The 20416-nt window shown below is 52.5% G+C and overlaps 1 protein-coding gene and 1 long non-coding RNA gene across 8 annotated transcripts in view, besides 2 other annotated features; one reads left to right on the top strand and one right to left on the bottom strand.

Annotated features, from left to right (window-relative positions):
* LOC105369983 (uncharacterized) overlaps positions 1-13084 on the top strand; it is a 34934-nt gene extending 21850 nt beyond the window's left edge. The window contains exons 3-4 of the long non-coding RNA XR_945341.2: positions 10297-10578; positions 12900-13084. This is a non-coding gene — a long non-coding RNA (uncharacterized LOC105369983). The remainder of the gene's footprint in view (positions 1-10296; positions 10579-12899) is intronic.
* The window catches only part of CUX2 (cut like homeobox 2), a 316390-nt gene that overhangs the window by 52242 nt on the left and 243732 nt on the right, over positions 1-20416 (bottom strand). For 6 of the 7 annotated variants that reach the window (XM_017019081.2, NM_015267.4, XM_011538069.3 and 3 more), the window contains 4 exons: positions 6761-6895; positions 4744-4867; positions 2904-2980; positions 1774-1840 (listed from right to left, as the gene is read on the bottom strand). In XM_017019081.2, the coding sequence (XP_016874570.1) occupies positions 1774-1840; positions 2904-2980; positions 4744-4867; positions 6761-6895 (403 nt within the window). The remainder of the gene's footprint in view (positions 1-1773; positions 1841-2903; positions 2981-4743; positions 4868-6760; positions 6896-20416) is intronic. The other variant, XM_011538063.4, reaches the window with a different exon arrangement.
* Positions 2884-3054: a silencer, noted in NCBI's record as "fragment chr12:111733063-111733233 (GRCh37/hg19 assembly coordinates)". NCBI's record gives its function as "represses an EF-1alpha promoter that drives an FKBP-Casp9 reporter gene in an ReSE screen in K562 erythroleukemia cells {active_cell/tissue: K562}" and the evidence as "EXISTENCE:reporter gene assay evidence [ECO:0000049][PMID:32094911]".
* Positions 4927-5428: an enhancer, noted in NCBI's record as "H3K4me1 hESC enhancer chr12:111730689-111731190 (GRCh37/hg19 assembly coordinates)". NCBI's record gives its function as "activates a minimal SCP1, AML or CMV promoter by ChIP-STARR-seq in primed H9 embryonic stem cells {active_cell/tissue: H9 hESC(primed)}" and the evidence as "EXISTENCE:reporter gene assay evidence [ECO:0000049][PMID:30033119]".

The raw sequence follows: 20416 nt of genomic DNA, 5'->3' as shown, positions 1-20416 counted from the left end.
CTCTCTGAACTCCACCTCCAAGCCTTTGTCCTGGTAGTGCCTGGAATGCCCATCCTCAAGAGAACAGCCCCCGGCTTTAAAACCCTGATCACAGTGTTCTCCGGGGAGGCCGCCCTGCACTGTCCCCAGTGGTCACTTGTTTACTGCGCTGCCCAGCCCCCTGCAGGCTGCCAGCATGGAGGGGCTTGGGAGAGGCATCCCCTCTGTTAGCAGGGGGTGGGAGACGCGGGGGGCACGTGGGGAGCACTTTGTGACCCAAGGCCACACACATGCTTCATGCATGCTTAGGGCCTTCCTTGGCTCAAGCTGTTCCTGCTGCCTGGAGCACCCTTCCCTGCTTTCTTCACATGGCCTTCTCCTCATTCTGAAAGCCACCTCCTCCAGGGAGTTCTCCCTGACTACCCTGGATAAAGGACCTACCCCTGCTTGTCATTCTCTTTTCCCATCCCCAGTTCTTCCCTTTGTAGCATTTGCCATGTGCCAAGAACAGTGCTGGGCATACCGTAAGTGCTCAATATGTGTGAATGAACAAATGTATCACTGCACATCAGTTTTTGTCTCCTCTCCTTGACTGAGGACCGGGTCATGTTCTCATGTTTCCTCCAAGGACCCAGAACAGCACTGGATAAACAGCAGGTGCTCAATAAGTGTTTGCAGAATGAATGATTTCTTAAAGCCTAAAGAAACGCTTGAGTCCAGAGTAATTTAGGTGAATGCCTCTCAGCCCCTGAGGATTGGAGTGTGGAGCTGGGGAGCGGGGACAGTCCCAGGGGCCCAGAGCAAAGGGGGAGGCCCCCACCAAGCAGCCCCTCACTCAGCCCAGGTCCCAGGACATTATTTATGGCTGTGGTGTGTGAGTGGCACAGCAAATGACAGCTGTGTGCCTTTGGGGGTGAGGAGCAGAGGTGCTTAATGAAACGGGGGCCTCCAGCCGAGACTCAGAGGAAGGAGAAGAGTCAGAAAGAGGAGGCATGTCTGAGAGGTCAGAGGGAAGAGACATGTCTGGAGGGACAGAGGGAGGATGTAAGTCCTGGAGGATCAGAAGGAGGAGGCAAGTACTGGAGGGCCAGAGGGTGGAGGCGTGTCTGGGATGATCAGAGGGAGGAGGCGTGTTTGGGAGGGTCAGAGAGAGGAGGCGTGTCTGGGAGGGTCAGAGGGAGAAGGCCTGTCTGGGAGGGCCAGAGGGTGGAGGCATATCTGGGAGGGTCAGAGGGAGGAGGCAAGTACTGGAGGGTCAGAGAGAGGAGGCCTGTCTGGAAGGGTCAGAGGGAGGAGGCGTGTCTGGGAGGGTCAGAGGGAGAAGGCCTGAGAGGGCCAGAGGGTGGAAGCAAGTACTGGAGGGTCAGAGGGAGGAGGCCTCTCTGGGACGGCCAGAGGGTGGAGGCAAGTACTGGAGGGTCAGAGGTAGGAGGCCTCTCTGGGAGGGCCAGAGGGTGGAGGCGTGTCTGGGATGGCCAGAGGGTGGAGGCAAGTACTGGAGGGTCAGAGGGAGGAGGCCTCTCTGGGAGGGCCAGAGGGTGGAGGCGTGTCTGGGATGGCCAGAGGGTGGAGGCAAGTACTGGAGGGTCAGAGGGAGGAGGCCTCTCTGGGAGGGCCAGAGGGTGGAGGCGTGTCTGGGATGGCCAGAGGGTGGAGGCAAGTACTGGAGGGTCAGAGGGAGGAGGTGTGTCTGGGAGGGTCAGAGGGAGGAGGCAAGTACTGGAGGGTCAGAAGGAGGAGGCCTGTCTGGGAGGCCTCCAAGGGAGGAGGTACACCTCAGCAGGGCTCACTTACTTGGATGCTGCCTCCTCGTCGTACTTCCGCCGCAGCTCTAGCAGCTCTGCCTGCGTAGCCTTTAGCGCTGGGAGAAAGCAGAGGCAGGGTGAGGCCCCACCTCCGAGTGGGAAGGAGCTGGGTCTCCCAGGGAGGTGGAGCCCACTCCTTCTGCGAAGCCCAGCAGGCAGAATGAGAGCTCGGGTAGTGAGGGAGATCTTTCTCTCAGTCAGAACTGGTGACGGTGAGTGAGTTTCCTGCCCCTAAAGGGGCTCAGGCTGGTGAGAGGGATGTGCAGTGGCTGGGGTGGGCAGTGCGGGGCAGATGAGGTCTCTCCATGGGCCTAGGTAGCTCAGGGGACCCAGGCCGGGGTTGGGGGGTGGAGGCGTGGTGCTGTCTGCCCCATGACCTGGGGTATAAGCCCCCCAACACCCTTAAGTCATTTCAGGACCTGGGCAGGGCCATCCATCCCGAGGTGTTCAACCACCCCGAGGTTCCAACCTGGCAGGCCGGAAGACAGGGAAGATCCACACAATGAACAGATTCATGTGTTACAATGAACGAGCGTTTTTGATACAACTCCAGATTTCTAATTTCTCTGGGAAAATGGAAGGGCCTGGCCACAGGGGACCATATGGTAGCGCCTGGCTGGTACTAAGCAGTGGCTGTCTCTTTAGATGAGGCCTCATTTCTCCAGTTTGCCCCAGACCTCACCCCTCCCCAACGCCTCCCCTAAGTCGGTGGCTTGGTAGCGTTTTGGCCCCTGCAGGGGTTGTATTAAATTAATTAATTAATTAATTAATTAATTAGAGACAGGGTCTTGCCATGTTGCCCAGGCTGGTCTCAAACTCTGGGGTTCAAGCGACCCTCCCACTTCAGCCTCCCAAAGTGCCAGGATTACACATGTGAGCCACCACGCCTGGCCATCACCTGAATTAATTCTGTCTCAAATCCTCTTTCCACAGCAATGTGGCCTCTGGGGCATAGAGGCTCAGCCCCCCACTGGGTAAGATTATTCTTCCCAAACTCCCATTTTGCCCTCTTGATTCTAAAACACCTGGATGTGGCAGACCCCAAGCCGTGACCCCTCGTTGACAGCATTACCGTCCCCTCCCAGTCCTCCCTCTAGGCCACATGGTGCCGACACATACCTGAATGTAGGACTTTGATTTTCTCCTCTGCCTCCCCCAGTCTGGCCGCCAAAGTGATCTGTACTTCTTGAAGGCCCCTGCGGAGAGACGAGGCCTGCTTGTGCTGGCTGCAGGGACAGGCCTTGCCTGGGGCCCCCGAGTCGAGCCCCATCTTGCTTCCTACCCCTTGCCCACTCCCTGTAACCTGCACCTCTGTCTTTCTGCAAGTCCTTAGACACGACATTCAGGCACCTGGCTGTCCTGCTGCTCCACTGCCTATGTGGACCCTGTCATGGCTGCTCCTGTTAGTTTCTGCCAGGATTTTTAGGGGCAAAATTTACAGTAGCAAGCAACCTCTCTGGTCCTCAGTTTCCTTATTTTTAAAATGAGGTTTCTGATAGGGTCTGCCTCAGGGGGTACTGTGAAGCATGCTCAGTGGTGTGCTCAGCCCCCAATAGTTCTGCAATATTGTGAGTTACTTATACTGTCCTGGGGGAGGAATATTTCCTCCGTTTTCTTTTTTTTTCTTTTTTGAGATGGAGTCTCGCTCTGTCGCCCAGGCTGGAGTGCAGTGACCCGAACTCGGCTCACTGCAACCTCCGCCTCCCAGGTTCAAGCAATTCTCCCGCCTAAACCTCCTGAGTACCTGGGATTGCAGGCGCCTGCCACCACACACAGCTTAATTTTTGTAATTTTAGTAGAGACAGGGTTTCACCATGTTGGTCAGGCTGGTCTCAAACTGCCGACCTCAAGTGATCCGCCTGCCTCAGTCTCTCAAAGTGCTGGGATTATAGGCATGAGCCACCACGCCCGGCCTGTTTTCTTTCTTTTTTTTTTTTTTTTTTGAAAAGATAGGGTCTTGCTCTGTTGCCCAAGCTGGAGTGCAGTGGCGCAATCATAGCTCACTACAGCCTCGACCACCTGGGCTCAAGTGATCCTCTGCTCTGCCTCAGCCTCACATGTAGCTGGGACCACAGGTGCACGCCACCATGCTTGGCTAATTAAAAAAAAATGTGCATATATATATGGGCACACAGACTTACACCTGTAATCCCAGCACTTTGGGAGGCCAAGGCGGGAGGATCACTTGAGGTCAGGATTTTGAGACTATCCTGGCCAACATGGTGAAATCCTGTCTCTGCTAAAAATACAAAAATTAGCCAGGTGTGGTAGTGCACACCTGTAATCCCAGCTACTCGGGAGGCTGAGGCAGGAGAATTGCTTAAACCCGGAACGTGGAGGTTGCAGTGAGCCAAGATTGCAACACTGCACTCCAGCTCTGTAGCCCAGGCTGGTCTTGAACTCATGGCCTCCAGCAATCCTCCTGCCTCGGCTTCCCAAAGTGTCGGGATTACAGGCTGCAGTGGGCTATAACTGTGCCATTGCACTCCAGCCTGAGTGACAGAGCAAGATCCCATCTCTAAAACATTATAATTATTGTAAAATAAAATTTAAAAAGATTGCAGCACCAACTCCTGCTCTACCAATTTTGCACCTGGCAGCTCCCACAACTGCATAAGCTAAGTCCTAGGAATACATGTCTTAATCATTTAAAAAATCCTACCAGTTCAGTTTCTCTAGAGAATGCTGAGGAATGGACCACCCTTAGCCCCATTTCCCAGGTAGGGAAGTTGAGGCTCAGAGGATGATGTGACTTGCCCAGGGCTGGCCACTGAGTTCCTGCAGTGGAACTTGAACCCAGACCCGGTTGGAGTCCAAAGCCCTCGGCCCTTTCTCATCTCGGTCTCCAGCCTGCATCTGGATTCTGGTAGGAGACTTTCCCCGTCCACGACCCAGCCAGGTGGGGCAGCAGGAGCCCTGCCCATTCCTTCCTCCCTCCCACCCACCTTCCCTTCCTCACTTTTGTTTTTCCGCCTCATTTCTCTGCAGCAAGGTTTCTGTCAGGAGGGCTTTCCCGGGAATGCCTGGGAGGCGGCTTCCCTCGGTCAGCGTGGGCCCGGCAGGCGACGTCCCCTCTCTCTGCTCTGCAGGGAGAAAAAGAGGGAAAACCCCCATTGCCAAGAGAGCAACGTGGCAGCCAGAGCCGCTTTCTGTAAACCGGATCGATCATTGATTGTGATCAATTTCCCAAACTTGGGCCTTGGAGAGAGCGCAGCTGTGGGGCCCTGCGGGCCGCATGTCCTCAGCACACAGGTCATTTCCACTGTGGCACCAGCGTCAGCACACGCAGACCTTCTTTTGCCTGCTCATGCCTCCGCGGCCTGCTTTATTATACTTTTAAAATTGTGGTAAAATATACGTCACATAAAATTCACCTTTTTTTATTTTTTATTTTTTTTTTGAGACGGAGTCTTGGTCTGTTGCCCAGGCTGGACTGCGAGTGCAGTGGCACAATCTCAGCTTACTGCAACCTCTGCCTCCTGGGTTCAAGCGATTCTCCCGCCTCAGCCTCCCGAGTACCTGGGATTATAGGTGCCTGCCACCATGCTTGGCTAATTTTTGTATGTTTAGTAGAGATGGGGTTTTACCATGTTGTCCAGGCTGGTCTTGGACTCCTGACCTCAAGTGATCTGCCCGCCTTGGCCTCCCAAAGTGCTGGGATTACAGGCGTGAGCCAACGTGCCTGGCCAAAATTCACTATTTTAACCACCATTTTGCAGTGACATTTAGTATATTCACAATTTTCCAAAAGGAAACCCCTCATACCCATTAAACAACTCCCCATTCCCCTTCCTGCAGCCCTAGGCAACGACCAATCTCCTTTCTGTCTCTACCAATTTGCCTGTTTTGACATTTCACACCAACAGAATCGTACATTACGTGGCCTTTCCTGTCTGGCATTTTCCACTCAGCACCATGTTTTCTTTTTATTTATTTTTTGAGATGGAGTCTTGCTCTGTCACCCAGGCTGGAGTGCAGGGGCATGATCTTGGCTCACTGCAACCTCCACCTCCCAGGTTCAGGCAATTCTCCTGCCTAAGCCTCCCAAGTAGTTGGGATTACAGGTGTGAGCCACCAAACCCGGTGAATTTTTGTATTTTTAGTAGAGACAGGGTTTCACCATATTGGTCAGGCTGGTCTGGAACTCCTGACCTTGTGATCCACCCGCCTTGGCCTCCCAAAGTGCTGGGATTACAGGCATGAGCCACTGCACCTGGCCAGCACCATGTTTTCAAAGTTCATCCATGTTGTAGCATGGATCAGTGCTTCTTTCCTTTTCATGGCCGAGTAATATTCCATTCTATGGATATTTTATTTGTCCATTCAGCTGTTGAAAGCCACTTGAGTTGTTTCTGCTTTTGCTGTTATGAGTAACGCTGCCATGTACATTTGTGTACACTGTTTTGAGCCTGTGTTTTCAATTCTCTGGGGTCCACACCTAGCCGTGGCGCTGCTGGGTCATGTGGTGAGCCTGTGTTTTACTTACTGAAGGACTGCCAGACATTTTCCCCTCCCTACTGTGGAGGGCGCCCATGTGGACACTCAGCCATCACTGGCCTCACCTGCGTCATGTCCAGCTCGGCAAGGGCTCATCCCAGGGCTTGGTGGGTGCTTTTGGTGCTGAATTCGTCACTGGGGCAGAGGGTGCTTTGGGGCTGGCCATGGAGGGTGGGAACCTGAACGGGTCTGTTGACTTTTCTCTCCACCTGCCACACTATGAGTCTTACTAATTTGTTCACTGACAGTCTCCCCTTCTAGAAGATCATCACCACAAGGGCAGGATTTTTCTCTTTTACTCCTAACTGCATTTCCAGCACCAGGATCAATATATACCCAGGAACTAGATGGTTACCAAAGGCCTTCACCTGCCCAGTTCCCTGCCCCAGCCACCCCGCAACAAGGCTGGCTGAGTTTGGCTCTGAAGATCTGCAGCCTGGTTGTTTATTGTAGACGCTCCGAGAAGGCCTTATCAGTACCTTTGGGGCTGAGGAGCTCGGGGTTCCTCTTCCACGAAGTGTGGAGGTCTCGCCGGGGCTGCCCACTGGGGTCAAAGCTGGGGGGCTGCAGTCTGTCGTCTAGGCTGCGTGCCGCCTCAAACACAGGCACGGGGTCTGTGCAGGGAGAGAAAGACAGGGATAGTGAGGGCCTGATGGATAGGGACACCCGGGCTGTGGCTGCAGGGCCTGGCAGGTTCCACAGGAGCCATCGGAGTCACCCCGCTGGCTTACAGGAAGTAGCATGGACTTTCTGCTCTACGAGGGAGCAGGCTTGTCCAGGCACTTGTTCAGGGGAGCACCTGCTATCTCCAGGGTATGGGTATCCTGCCCAGCTGGGAATAATACTAACAATAATAATAGTTGGCCAGGCCGGGTGCGGTGGCTCATGCCTGTAATCCCAGCACTTTGGGAGGCTAAGGTAGGCGGATCATTTGAGGTCAGGAGTTCAAGACCAGCCTGACCAACATGGTGAAACCCCGTCTCTGCTAAAAATACAAAAAAATTAGCCGGGTGTGGTGGTGCATGCTTGTAGTCCCAGCTATTCGGGAGGCTGAAGCAGGAGACTCGCTTGAACCCAGGAGGTGGAGATTGCAGTGAGCTGAGATCACGCCACTGCACTCCAGCCTGGGCGATAGAGCAAGACTCCATCTCAAAAAAAAAAAAAGGTTGGCTGAGTGCAGTGGCTAACGCCTGTAATCCCAGCAATTTGGGAGGCCAAGGTGGGAGGATCACTTGAGCCCAGGAGTTCAAGACCAGCCTGTGCAGCATGGCAAGATCTCATCTCTGCAAAAAGATTTAAAAAATAGTCTGGGCGCAGTGGCTTATGCCTGTAATCTCAGTACTTTGGGAGGCTGTGGCAGGTGGATCACCTGAGGTCAGGAGTTTGAGACCACCTGACCAATATGGTGAAACCCCGTTGCTACTAAAAATATAAAAATTAGCTGGGTGTGGTGGTGGGCACCTGTAATCCCAGCTACTTGGGAGGCTGAGGCAGGAGAATCACTTGAACCAGGGAGGCAGAGGTTGCAGTGAGCTGAGATGATGCCACTGCACTCCAGCCTGGGGGACAGAGTAAGGCTCCATCTCAAAAAAATAAAATAAAATTAGCTGGGCATGGTGGCACATGCCTGTAGTCCCAGTTACTTAGAAGGCTGAGGTGGGAGGATCACTTGAGCCTGGGAGGTCGAGGCTGCAGAGAGTGGAGATTGCATCACTGTACCCCAGCCTCAGCAACAGAGTGAGATTCTGTTCAAGTGATCCTGCCTCAGCCTCCCGAGTAGCTGGGATCAAGGGTGTGCACCACCATGCCCAGCTAATTTTTGTATTTTCTTGTAGAGACAAGTCTCACCATGTTGCCCTGGCTTCATTGCATTTTCTTGATTTTATGATGCTATCTGTGGCACTTTAAGACTGTGCCTTGCAGACCTCCAACTACAGCGAGGGGCACTGAGCAAGGATCTGGCTGCTGCTCTGAGATCCATCGCTCTGAGGCCAATCTTCCCACCGCCTCTGCCAACCATGCCTGTGTGAAGCGGGGATACCAAGGTGGGACTGCTCTGAGGACTGACTTTGGAGTGATGACTCCCCCATGGCCTCGGCCAGCACTTCTGTAGGCTATGTGGGGGTCTAGATGCTCCCAGGCAGCTGCCCCACCTCTCCGCGAGCTCTCCCAGCCTTCCTGCTCCCTGCATTCCTATTTTGCACCAATATCCTCTCCCATGTAATCCTTGGTGTGCTTCTCGGTGGACCTGGTGACACCATCATTTGTGACACACGTTGTTGGTTAAGGACTTTTTCGGGGGCAAAACACACATCTAGATGTAAGATGTCCACCAATTCCCCAATCACTCAAAGGTGAGGAACGTGCAGGTCCTTCTGCCTGGAATTCGGTTCCCTCTCCCAGCCCTTTACACCGCAAGCACATCCGCTTCCTTACACTCTGGAGTCCTGCCTCACTTCTTCCAGGACACTTTCCCCAAGTCCCCATCTAGGGCAGGGACTAAGAAATGTGGATCATCTCAGAGGTGTGTTGGCACCTTCCAGGCTACAAAACCCATGCACAGGACTGGCTTCCCAGCATCCTCACGGCATCCCCTGGAGGCTGGCTTGGATCCAAGGCATTTTCACAGATGAGGAAACTGAGGCTCAGAGAAACCAGGTGACTTGCTGAAAGGTAGATGTGAGACTCGAATCTGGGTCTCTTGCTTTGATATCACAAAGGCCTCCTGTCCTAGTGCCTGCTCTTGACAGCCCCAGCAGGTGCAGATGGTGTCCATGGCACCCAGGAAAGCCAGGGTCCTGGATATAGACCAAGGGGCCTAGTCTGGTTCAGTTCTTTCTAATGCATGGAAGCCCTGTCTCTTCCTGGTCTCTCCCCCAGAATTTTCTTTTTTCCTTTTTTCTTTTTTTGAGACAGAATCTGGCTCTGTTGCCCAGGCTGGAGTGCAGTGGCGTGATCTCAGCTCATTGCAATCTCTGCCTCCCATGTTCAAGCTATGTTCCTGACTCAGCCTCCCGAGTAGCTGGGATTCCAGGTGTGTGCGACCACGCCTGGGTAATTTTTGTATTTATTTATTTTTTTTGTGCTGTTGCCCAGGCCGGAGTGCAGTGAGACGATCTCGGCTCACTGTAACCTCCGCCTCCTGAGTTCAAGCAACATTCCTGCCTCAGCCTACTGAGTAGCTGAGATTACAGATGCGCGCCATCACACCCAGCTAATTTTTATATTTTTGGTAGAGATGGGGTTTCACCATGTTGGCCAAGCTGGTCTTGAACTCCTGACCTCAGGTGATCCACCCACCTTGGCCTCCGAAAGTGCTGGGATTACAGGCATGAGCTACTGCGCCCGGCCAAATTTCTGTATTTTTAATAGAGTTGGGGTTTCACCATGTTGGTCAGGCTGGTCTCGAACTCCTGACCTCAGGTGATCTGCCTGCTTTGGCCTCCCAAAATGCTGGGATTATAGGCATGAGTTATCGTGCCTGGTCGCTCCCCCAGATTTTTCTGCCAGTATCTGCTTGGCCCTTGCTCTCTGCTGGGAAGCAGAGGGATCAAGAGTGTGGACCTCAAGGTTAGGTATCCCTGGAGTCTGCTAATCTATACTTGCTTCTTGGGATTGCTGTATGACTTTGGCAAGTGACTCTACCTCTCTGTGCCTCACCATAAATGTAGCAACCTCATGGGGCTGTGGTAAGGATGCATGTAAAATGCTCCACATGGCACCAGACACTTGGTTAGCTCAGAGTAAGCAGAAGCCCTCACTTCTTTCTGAGCTCCAGTCACATTGGCTTCTTCTTACCTTCCCACCTCAGACCCTTTGCACGAGAACCTTTGCCAGGAACACCCTCCCCTGACCTACCCCTTTCAGCTAGTAAACACTTACTTGCCTTCCATAGTACAACTCAAATGTCACTTCTTCCAGGAAGCCCTCCTCGACTAACCTGTCCTCTGATATGAACTGCCTACACCTTTCCTTCACGGTACCCACTGCAGTTCTAATGCATGTTTATTTGCAGGTTCACCTAATTAACACCCACTGGACTGCAAACTCGACAAGGCAAGGCCAGACTGCATGTTTTTGCACTCCCTTCCACCCCTACCCTGCTGGAATTCTTCTACCTACCATGAAGTATGACCCACAGTCCAACCCAACAAAGATCTGCTGATGGAAGAAACGGGGCAATGCCTGTACATGGGGCCTTCAGGTCCGGCTGGAACAAGGCGGCTTCCCTGTTTTACTCTGCTGTGGCCTGTTTGTTTAGGTGGCAGGGGCTTGGACAATGGGCGTCCATGCCGAGGTAAGCAGGTGCGCGGGAAGGCGGCGGTGGCTTTCATCTGCCGGCAGCCCCCACGCCCCGTCATTAGGCAGGGCCTGCGCAGCAGGGTATGCCATTATGTCTCCCCGGGCTGATGTAATTATACATTGACATAATTAACCCAGCAAGCGCATTAGGCAGGCCAGCTAAAAATTCATCTATAATTATTTGTTGTGTGCATGCTAATGAGTCCATCTGCACTGCCTTTGTACAACACGAACAAATTAATTTACAAGTCTGGATTTTTTAATAAGTTCAAGGAAACGCTTCCTATTGTGTCCCGGTTTTTGAGACAGGAGGAAAAAAGGCAACGAGCACTCGCCGGGGTCAGGGAAGTTAGACAAACACAAGACGGTGCGGTGCCACGCGGACTGCGCAGGGCCACGGAGGGCTTGCTCCGGTTCCAAGGAGGGGGAGGATCCGGCTCGTGGCCCAGGGGCCCTGCTGGCCATGAGCCCATTGAGCCAAACGACTATACTTGGTGATAAAGGATGTCTGTCACTCACCCTGTTCGCAGGGATTAGGTATTGACATTTCGTTCTACTCCGAGGCCCTCTGGGTCATTCCTTGCTGGCTGTGTGCTCTGTCTTGGGGAGGCTGGCCTCAGGTGGCTCCCCAGAGAGGCTGGTGGGAACAGGGGCTGGCTGGACCTTTGATTCAGGTCCATAGATTTCAAAGCTCTGTCTTTTTGCCTTCCTTTGCAGGTACAGTGTAAAACAGTCATTAAGCTCACAGAATCCAAAGTCCAGCTCAGGGTCCAGATCCCATGGGGCCTGGAGCCTCAGTTTCTCCACTTATAACCTGGAAACTTCCTAATTCCCAGGAATTATTATTATTGTTATTATTTAGAGACAAGGTCTTGCTCTGTTGCCCAGGCTGGAGTGCCAAGGCTCGATCTTGGCTCACTGCAACCTCTGCCTCCTGGGTTCAAGCGATTCTCCTGCCTTAGCCTCCCGAGTAGCTGGGACTACAGCTACCACCATGCCAGGCTAATTTTTGTATCTTCAGTAGAGATGGGGTTTCATCATGTTGGCCAGGCTGGTCTCAAACTCCCAATCTCAGGTGATCCACCTGCCTTGGCCTCCCAATGCGCTAGAATTACAGGTATGAGCCACTGCGCCTGGCCACTAATTTTTTAATTTTTGTAGAGATAGGGTCTTGCTATGTTGCCCAGACTGGTCTCAAACCCCTGCCTAAAGTGATCCTCCTGCCTTGGCTTCCTAGGCTTGCTAGGATTACAGGTGTGAGCCACCACACCTGGCCTTCCCAGGAATTCTTATTGGGAAGATTTAAAAAAGATATTGAGAGAGGCAGTAGTGATTTAGGGATCGGGTGTCAGCTCTTACTGCAACTGGCCAAGCTAACCTCTTGGAGCCTCTGTTTCCTCATCTGTAAAATGGGGGTGCATGTGTAGGGTGGTTAAGGACTGGGGGAGAGAAGGTGTGCAGAGAACTGCATAGTGCCAGGCACAGGGTGGGCCTTGCTAGGCGTTGTGTGCTTTCATCACCCCTAGACAAGGCAGCACACCAGGTGCTGGCATTCTGGGCGCTGGCTGTCTGGGCAGATATGCTCTGTGGAACTCGGGACAGGGTATGGCTTCACCTGTATGCATCAGTCCCTCAGAGACCCAGAGTCTAATAATCCTGCTTTGAGCTAACTCTACTCTGAGACCCAAAGATTCAAGCTTAGAAAGTCACACTGGGGAGGGATCTATCAGATCAATCTGGCCAACATCCCTTCCACCCCAGGACACAGTGGGGTCTGATATTATCCCTGAAATCCGCTGGAGAGTTGGTGGCAGGCTGAGATGGGCCCTTAGACCTCTTCCTCTCACACTGTGCTGCCCCGGATTCCCCAACTTGAGGGAGAAGGTGGCGGTGACATCCAGATGCCTTGGCCAAAGTCGGGCTGCAACGGAGTCCTAACGGCCAAGGCCCTTTCCACGGATTAGAATTCATTCAGTCTTCACCACAACACGGAGGCAGGCACTGCTGGATCCCGATTTCCCACACGGAAAAATGGAGGCACTGGGGTGAAGTCATTTCCCCAGGGTGAGGCAGGGAGGGCTGGGCTGCCATCCAGGGACACTGGCCCTGCTTGGCAGAATGGGGTGCTTGAGAGAACTTGCTGGCTCTAAGCAGGGGCACATCAGAGTCCCCTGAGGAATTTGTCAAACATCTCAGGGACTCAGTCCTAAAGATTCTCACATGTGTCAATCTTAGTCCTTTCAGGGAGCAGGTGGGGTGGTTCATGGCTCGGCCGTTAGACCTTCTAACTAATGGGTGATTTCCATTCTCTCTTAGATACAATGGAGCTGTCAATTAAGATGCCCCGCCTTCCCCTGGCAGAGGGTCAGATGCTCTGCCCTGGGAATTTGAATGAATCCCTCAGCCGGCCCAGCTACTCACTGCTCTGGTCCCATCTGACCCAGGTGGTCTCACCATTCTCCCCCACCTTCTGCCTTCTAATAAATTCCTTTCGTGCCTGATAGTTTTGCAGAGCTGGCTTCTGCTGCATGACACTAAAGAACCCTGATGGATACATGTGATGAGTGATTTTGGGCCAAAGGAGACCTAAGATACAGGTTCATTTCAAGACTGGGTAAAAATTGGGCCTAATAATAAAGAGACTGAGGACTGAATGCTCAGGAGGGTGCAGGGCCAGGTGTACCCTGGGCTTTCCCGGACGTCGTCACAGGTTTGGGGGAGAAAGGAAACCCTGTGGCTTAGACAGGGCTGGTGCAGGGCAGCCTGGCCAGGAAGCAACCAGGAGGGGTGGACTCCTGCAGTGCGCCTCCAGGAAGGAAAGAGGAGGAAACAGGCTCTAAGGTTTGTCTTGTTTGCTGACACACAGTAGGTGCCTCATAAACATCTGCTCACTAACTGAGACAATGAGAGGTTGGCGAAGAGACCAGAGGCCCTTCCGAGCTGCACGAGGTGAAAGCGTCACTTGAGCAGAGGTTTGATTAGAGCGAGAGCAAGAAGCGGGAGGTGAGCTCAAAGTGCGGCTCTGTAGGCAGAGCCATCTGGGTTAGAATCCCATCTCTGCCACTTACTCATTGTGCGGTCTTAAGTAAGCATTTCAGCCCTTTAAGCTTCAGTTTTCCCTTCTGTAAAATGGTGACACTAACTGCATCTACCAAGGTTACTATGAAGATGTGAAACCTAAGTTTTGTAAAGCAGTTAACACAGTGCCTGGTACACCTAAGTGCTCAGTAAAGAACAATGGGCTGATTCCCAGGGAGGCCAGAAGGGACCAATGCTCGTGTCCAAGCTTTGCTGTGCTCCTGCCCGGCCTTGTCTCCTGGACCAGGCTGCTTTGAGACGGAGCATGAGGGCCCTGGCTTCTTACTATTAGACCAGGAGCACAAGTCGTATGGCTGCCCTCGGTCCTGCTGCTGGCCTGCTGTGTGACCCTGGACAATGCACTGAATTCTCTGGTTCCCCTGTCCAAATGCCCATTACAATATATCCTAGGCATGCACTCAACATTAGGTGTCATCAGATAGAGGCAGGATCCCATGGAGGCGGGTGCTTTGGCCCTGGGTCTATCCCTTACAGCTGGGATGATCAGGGAGGGTGATTATGAGACACCCTCAGGGTTGAACTTGATGCAAGAGATACGCAAGGGATTTAGTAGGGAAAGGCCCACAAAAGAAAGAGGGGAAGGAGAGAGAGGAGGCAGGGTGCTGGTCTGATGCCTGAGAAAGGAGGGAAGGAGGAGGGAGGATTGGACAGGATGAGCCTCGGACTGCAGCACGACTCTGACAAAGTCTCGGCCAGGCTGGTGGGGAGTTTCAGAGCATGGTGTATTGGTCAGCTCCAGCTGCCATTAAAAACATACCACAGGCTGGGCACCATGGCTCACGCCTGTAATCCCAGCACTTTAGGAGGCTGAGGTGGGCAGACTGTCTGAAGTCAGGAGTTTGAGACCAGCCTGACCAACATGGTGAAACCCCTCTCTACTAAAAATACAGAAATTGGGGAACACTGACTTCCCCAAATCCCCAAAGACACGCTTAGAGAAAGGGAAATGAAGCCAGGCTGGGAGGCTGGAGGTCAAACCCTGGCTGTAACATCACCAGGGAAAGTCACTTAGCGTCCCCAAGCCTCAGTTTCCCCATTAGTAAAAGGGAGATAACAAAAGGACCTACGGCATGGGGTTATGCTGGGGTTATCTGAGCACGCCGAGCTCCCGCTTCAGTGCCCGTCATCTGTGGACTCCAAATGAGTGCTGCTCTTATTATTATGACTCGTGGCAGCTGTGGAAGGTGCCACTCAGAGCTCCCTTCAAGAGAAAACCTCCCTCGAGGCATTGGTGACACCTTCCAGGTGTGGCATCTTCCAATGGCTGAGCACGGCGGGGGTAGTCCTGCCCGATGCTGGAACAGACGGTTGTACCATGGACTGAACTGTGACCCTGTCTGCTGCAGACCCACATCCTGAAGGCCTAACCTGCCCCCCATGTGACTACATTTGGGGATAGGTTTTTTTTTTTTAAGACAAGAGTCTCACTCCATCACCCAGGCTGGAGTACAGTGGCGCGATCTTGGCTCACTGCAACCTCTGCCTCCTGGGTTCAAGTGATTCTCCCACCTCAGCCTCCAGAGTAGATGAGATTACAGGCATGCGCCACCACACCTGGCTAATTTTTTTTTTGTATTTTTAGTAGAGACAGGGTTTCACCATGTTGGCCAGGCTGGTGTCTAACTCCTGACCTCAAGTGATCCGCCTGTCTCGGCCTTCCAAAGTGCTGGGATTACAGACGTGAGCCACCACACCCGACCTATGGTATCCTCTAGATTGTCAGAAGCATCCCTGACTTTCTGAACAGCCTTTGGTGGGGGGAGGTGCGGACATTAATTTAAATGACCCATTGACCATTCCTTTTTCTGTGCACCAATAGAGGGAAGGCTGTGTGAGGATACAGTAAGAAGGCAGCTGTCTGCAAGCCAGGAAGGGAGGTTCTACTGGAAACCAACCCTGAAGGCACCTTGATCTTGGACTTCCAGCCTACCCCACCGTGGGGAAGTAAATTTCTTGCGTTTAAGCCTCCTGTTCTGTGTGATTTTTTTTTTTTTTTTTTTTTTTTAGATGGAGTTTCACGCTTGTTGCCCAGGCTGGAGTGTAATGGTGTGATCTCAGCTCACTGCAACCTACGCCTCTTGGGTTCAAGTGATTCTCCTGCCCCAGCCTCCTGAGTAGCTGGGACTACAGGCGCAGGCCACCACACCTGACTAATTTTGTATTTTTAGGAGAGACGGGGTTTCACCATATTGGTCAGGCTGGTCTCAAACTCCTGACCTCAGGCAATCTGCCTGCCTTGGCTTCCCAAAGTGCTGGGATTACAGGCGTGAGCCAAGGCGCACGGCCTGTGGTATTTTTTTTTTTTTTTTGAGATGGGGTTTCGCTCTGTCGCCCAGGCTGGAGTGCAGTGGCACGATCTTGGCTCACTGCAAGCTCTGCCTCCCAGGTTCACACCATTCTCCTGCCTCAGCCTCCCAAGTAGCTGGGGCTACAGGCGCCCACCACCTCGCCCAGCTAATTTTTTTGTATTTTTAGTAGAGACGGGGTTTCACCGTGTTAGCCAGGATGGTCTCCATCTCCTGACCTCGTGATCCACCTGCCTCAGCCTCCCAAAGCGCTGGGATTACAGGTGTGAGCCACCACACCCGGCCTGTGGTATGTTTTTAATGGTAGCTGGAGCTGACCAATACACCTTGCTCTGAAACTCCCCACCACCCTGGCCAAGATTTTCTCAGAGCCGTGCTGCAGTCCGAGGCTCACCCTGGCTAATCCTCCCTCCTCCTTCCCTTCTTTCTCAGGCATCAGACCAGCATCCCGCCTCCTCCTTCTCTCTCCCCTCTTTCCTTCACGGGCCTTCCCCTAATAAATCCCTTGCATATCTAAAGCTGTCTTGGCATCTGCCTCCTGGAGAACCCAAATCACTTGCTTCTCAGAGCCTCAGTTTCCCCATCTGTAAAACAAGGACAAACACAGACCCTCCCCCTAGGAGTCTGTGGATATGAAATCTGTGACTGGTGCTGGTGCATTTCTGCAGTGATGAGTCTGAAGCTGGCAGAGATCCTCAGGGCACCTGAGTCCTTGCGCCTGCTTCACTCAGCCCGTTTATTGAGCGTCTGTGGGAGGCATGATGGTGAGTGAGATAAATGAGACCCTTGTCTTTGTGCAGCCGACTTCCCAGTGGGGGAGACAGATGCTGCTCCTTTGCAAAGGTGCTCAGTGGGACCATAGAGAATGTTTCCATCAACACCGACCCTGGGGGGATCTCGACTCACCTTAGGGAGGAGATTGGGAAAGACCTCAGTGACATGGAACTAGGGGTGCTGCTGAGAAGCAGGGAAGATCTGTGGGAGAGAGGTCTAGGTGGGAGGCACCGCTTGTGCAAAAGGCTGGTGGCTGGAAGGAATCTGTGCAAAGCTCAGTGGCATCTGAGGACAAGACACCAGGTCCCAGTGGCTGGAGTGGAGTTGGGGGAGATGGGGGGGACAGGTGGCACGTAGATGCCAAAGCCCCTCTGTTGATAATGTAGATGAGGGTTGGGATTTATCCTAAGGGCAGTGGGAGGACACATTCTAATTTGCCTTTTTCAAAGGCTCATCTGGCTGCTCTGTGAAAAGTGGCGTGTAGAGGGCGTCAGATAGGCGGCTACTGCAAGAGTCCTGGCAGCCATGATGATGGCTGTGGTCACAGTGGTGGCAGAAGTGGGAGCAGCACTCAGATTCAAGAGTTACACAGGAAATGTTGGTGGGACCTGGTGCACTGAGCTGAACAGTGTTTCCCCAAGTTCATGTGAATTTGGAACATCAGAATGTGACCCTATTTGGAAATAGGGTCTTTGCAGATGTCATCAAGTCAAGATGAGATCATATTGGAGTAGGTTGGATTCTAATGCAATGATTGGAGTCCTCAGGAGAAGAAGAGAGGATGCACAGAGCCACACAGGGAAGGAGGCCATGTGAAGATGGACGCTGAGATGGAAATGACACATCTAGAAGCCGAGGAGTGCCAAGGATTGCTGGCAGCCCCAGAAGCTGGGAGAGAGGCGTGTGACACCCCTGCAGAGTCTCCAGAAGGAACTAACTCTGCCGACATCTTGATGTGGGGCTTCTGGATTCCGCAGCTGAAAGAAAACATTTGTTGCTTTAAACCACCCAGTTTGTGGTAATGGGGCACAGCAGCCAGAGGAATCTGCTCTGCTGTGTTTTGGAGGCTGGAGGTCCAAAATCCAGGTGTCAGTAGGGCCATGCTCTCTCCAAGGCTCTAGGGGAGACCTGGGCCTTTCCCCCAGCTTCTGGTGTCACTGGCAATCTGGCTTTCCTTGGCTTGCAGCTGCATGACTTCGATCTCAGCCTTCGTTGTCATGTGACCTTCTGTCTCTCCCTGATTCTTATTTATTTATTTATTTGAGACAGAGTCTTGCTCTGTCACCCAGGCTGGAGTAGGGTAGCGCGATCTTGGCTCACTGCAACCTCCGTCTCCCGGGTTCAAGCGATTCTCCTGCCTCAGACTCCCAAGTAGCTGAGATTACAGGCGTAAGCCACGATGCCCAGCTAGTTTTTGTATTTTATTTTTAGTAGAGATGGGGTTTCGCCATGTTCGTCAGGCTGGTCTTGAACTCCTGACTTCAAGTGATCCATCCACCTCAGCCTCCCAAAGTGCTGGGATTATAGGCACGAGCCACTGCGCCTGGTCCTTGTTTGTTTGTTTATTTTTGAGACGGAGTCTCGCTCTTTCGCCAGGCTGGAGTGCAGTGGCGCAATCTCGGCTCACTGCAACCTCCACTTCCCGGGTTCAAGTGATTCTCCTGCCTCAGCCTCCCGAGTAGCTGGGACTAAAGGCATGTGCCACCACACCCAGCTAATTTTTGTATCTTTAATAGAGAAGGGGTTTCACCATGTTGGCCAGGATGGTCTCGATCTCTTGACCTTGCGATCTGCTGGCCTTGGCCTTCCAAAGTGCTGGGATTACAGGCATGAGCCACCGAGCCCAGCTCCTTGTTTATTTTTGAGATGGGGTCTTGCTCTGTTGCCCAGACTGGAGGGCAGTGCCATGATCACAGCTCACTGTGGTGCCAAACTCCTGGGTTCCAGCAATCCTTCCATCTTGGCCTCCCAAAGTGCTGGGATTTTAGGCATGAGCCACCACACCTGGCCTCTCCTCTTCTTCTGAGGACATCAGTCATACTGGATTAGAGGCCACTCTAATGACCTAATCTTACCTTGATTATATCCTGCAAAGATGCTTTTTCCAAATGAGGCCACATTTAGAGGTAGTGGTGGTTAGGACTTCAACATATCTTTCTGGAGGACACAATTCAAACCATAACATGTGGCAATGGACTCAATACAAACTGTGAGACAGGCAGGACCGAGGAACTGCCAAGGCTCCAAGTCTCATAGGAAGGAAGTCCTCACTCAAGTCTAACCTACTTCTCTCCTGCTATACCCATTTCATTTGCCTTTCAGGGAGACAAGCCCATGCCATAAGGGGACCTGACAGTTCCTAGGCACTGGTCCTCCTGCCTCCTCATTCTCTCCGACTCCTGAGGAACTGGGCTGTGGGTTCAGTTGGCTGCTCTAGAAAGTACACAGCTACGATGATCATTTACTTCCCTGGGTATTTTCCACTCCTTGTTTCCTCCCCCAGCGCACAGTGCTGTGTTCCCAGATTTTACATTGTACAGGGAACTCATTTCTTCCCACCTTCCCTATCTGGCAGGAATTCATGGAGCCCTGAGCTACCTTGCTGGGAGCTGGGGTAGGGAGGAAAAAATTACTAACATCCAGACAATTACAGGATTCTGCCAACTTCTATGGAGGAGAATGCTCTGCCGGGCAGCTTGGCAAACCTGAGGGCCTCCCGTTTACTTTGTCCAATGGTATTATTCGATGCATCAGCTAAATGTCACTGGCTGCTCTTACAAACACAAATTGAAAGAGAGAGAAATGACAAAAAATCTTTAAAATGTTTGGAAAACGTTTCTCAGAGAACCTGACAGCCATGGAACACCAAGGGAATCTTGTTTTTCATTCCCGAGTCTTCCCTTCCTTCCCTGGGTCCTGCTCTGGCTCTTCACATAGTAGGTGCTCAATTAACGTGGGTTGTTTGAAATGTGTGATAAGTGATGAAATTATTAGAGCTCTGGGTGAGAGGGTAGGGCGCCACAGAGTTTGAGAGTTTTCCATGGGGGCATCTCTGTGGCAGGCAGAATAATGGCTCCTCAAAGACATCTTGACCCTCAGAACCTGTGAGTGTTTTTTGTTGTTCTTTTTAGAGACAGGGTCTTGCTCTGTCGCCCAGGCCACAGTGCAGTGGCACAATCACGGCTCACTGCAGCCTCGACTTCCTGGGCTCAAGCGATCAATCCTTCTGTCTCAGCCTCTGGAGTAGCTGGGGGCCACAGGCACATGCCATCACGTCCAGATAATTTTTTAATTTTTGTAGAGATGGGGTCTTACTATGTTGCCCAGGCTGGTCTCAAACTCCTGGGCTCAGGTGATCCTCCCACCTCAGCCTCCCAAAGTTCTGGGATTACAGGTGTGAGCCACCACGTCCTGCCCGTGAGTGTTATGTTACATGGAACAGGGACTGAAGGTTGCAGATGGAAGGGGATCACAGTCAGAGATTGACTGAAGAGGCTGCCCGGCTGGCTTTGAAGATGGAAGAAGAGGCCATGAGCCAAGGAACATAGGCAGCCCCAGCCCGAGAAGGTGGAAAAGACAAGGAAATGACTTCTCCCCTGCAGCCTCCTGCTTTCAGAAACAACCCGGCCCTGCGAATGCTTTGATTGTTGCCCA

This window comes from Homo sapiens, chromosome 12 (assembly GCF_000001405.40).
Source record: "Homo sapiens chromosome 12, GRCh38.p14 Primary Assembly".
NCBI classification, from domain to species: domain Eukaryota; kingdom Metazoa; phylum Chordata; class Mammalia; order Primates; family Hominidae; genus Homo; species Homo sapiens.
The sequence above is the reverse complement of the archived record's forward strand: the minus strand, read 5'-3'. Positions and strand labels throughout refer to the sequence as shown.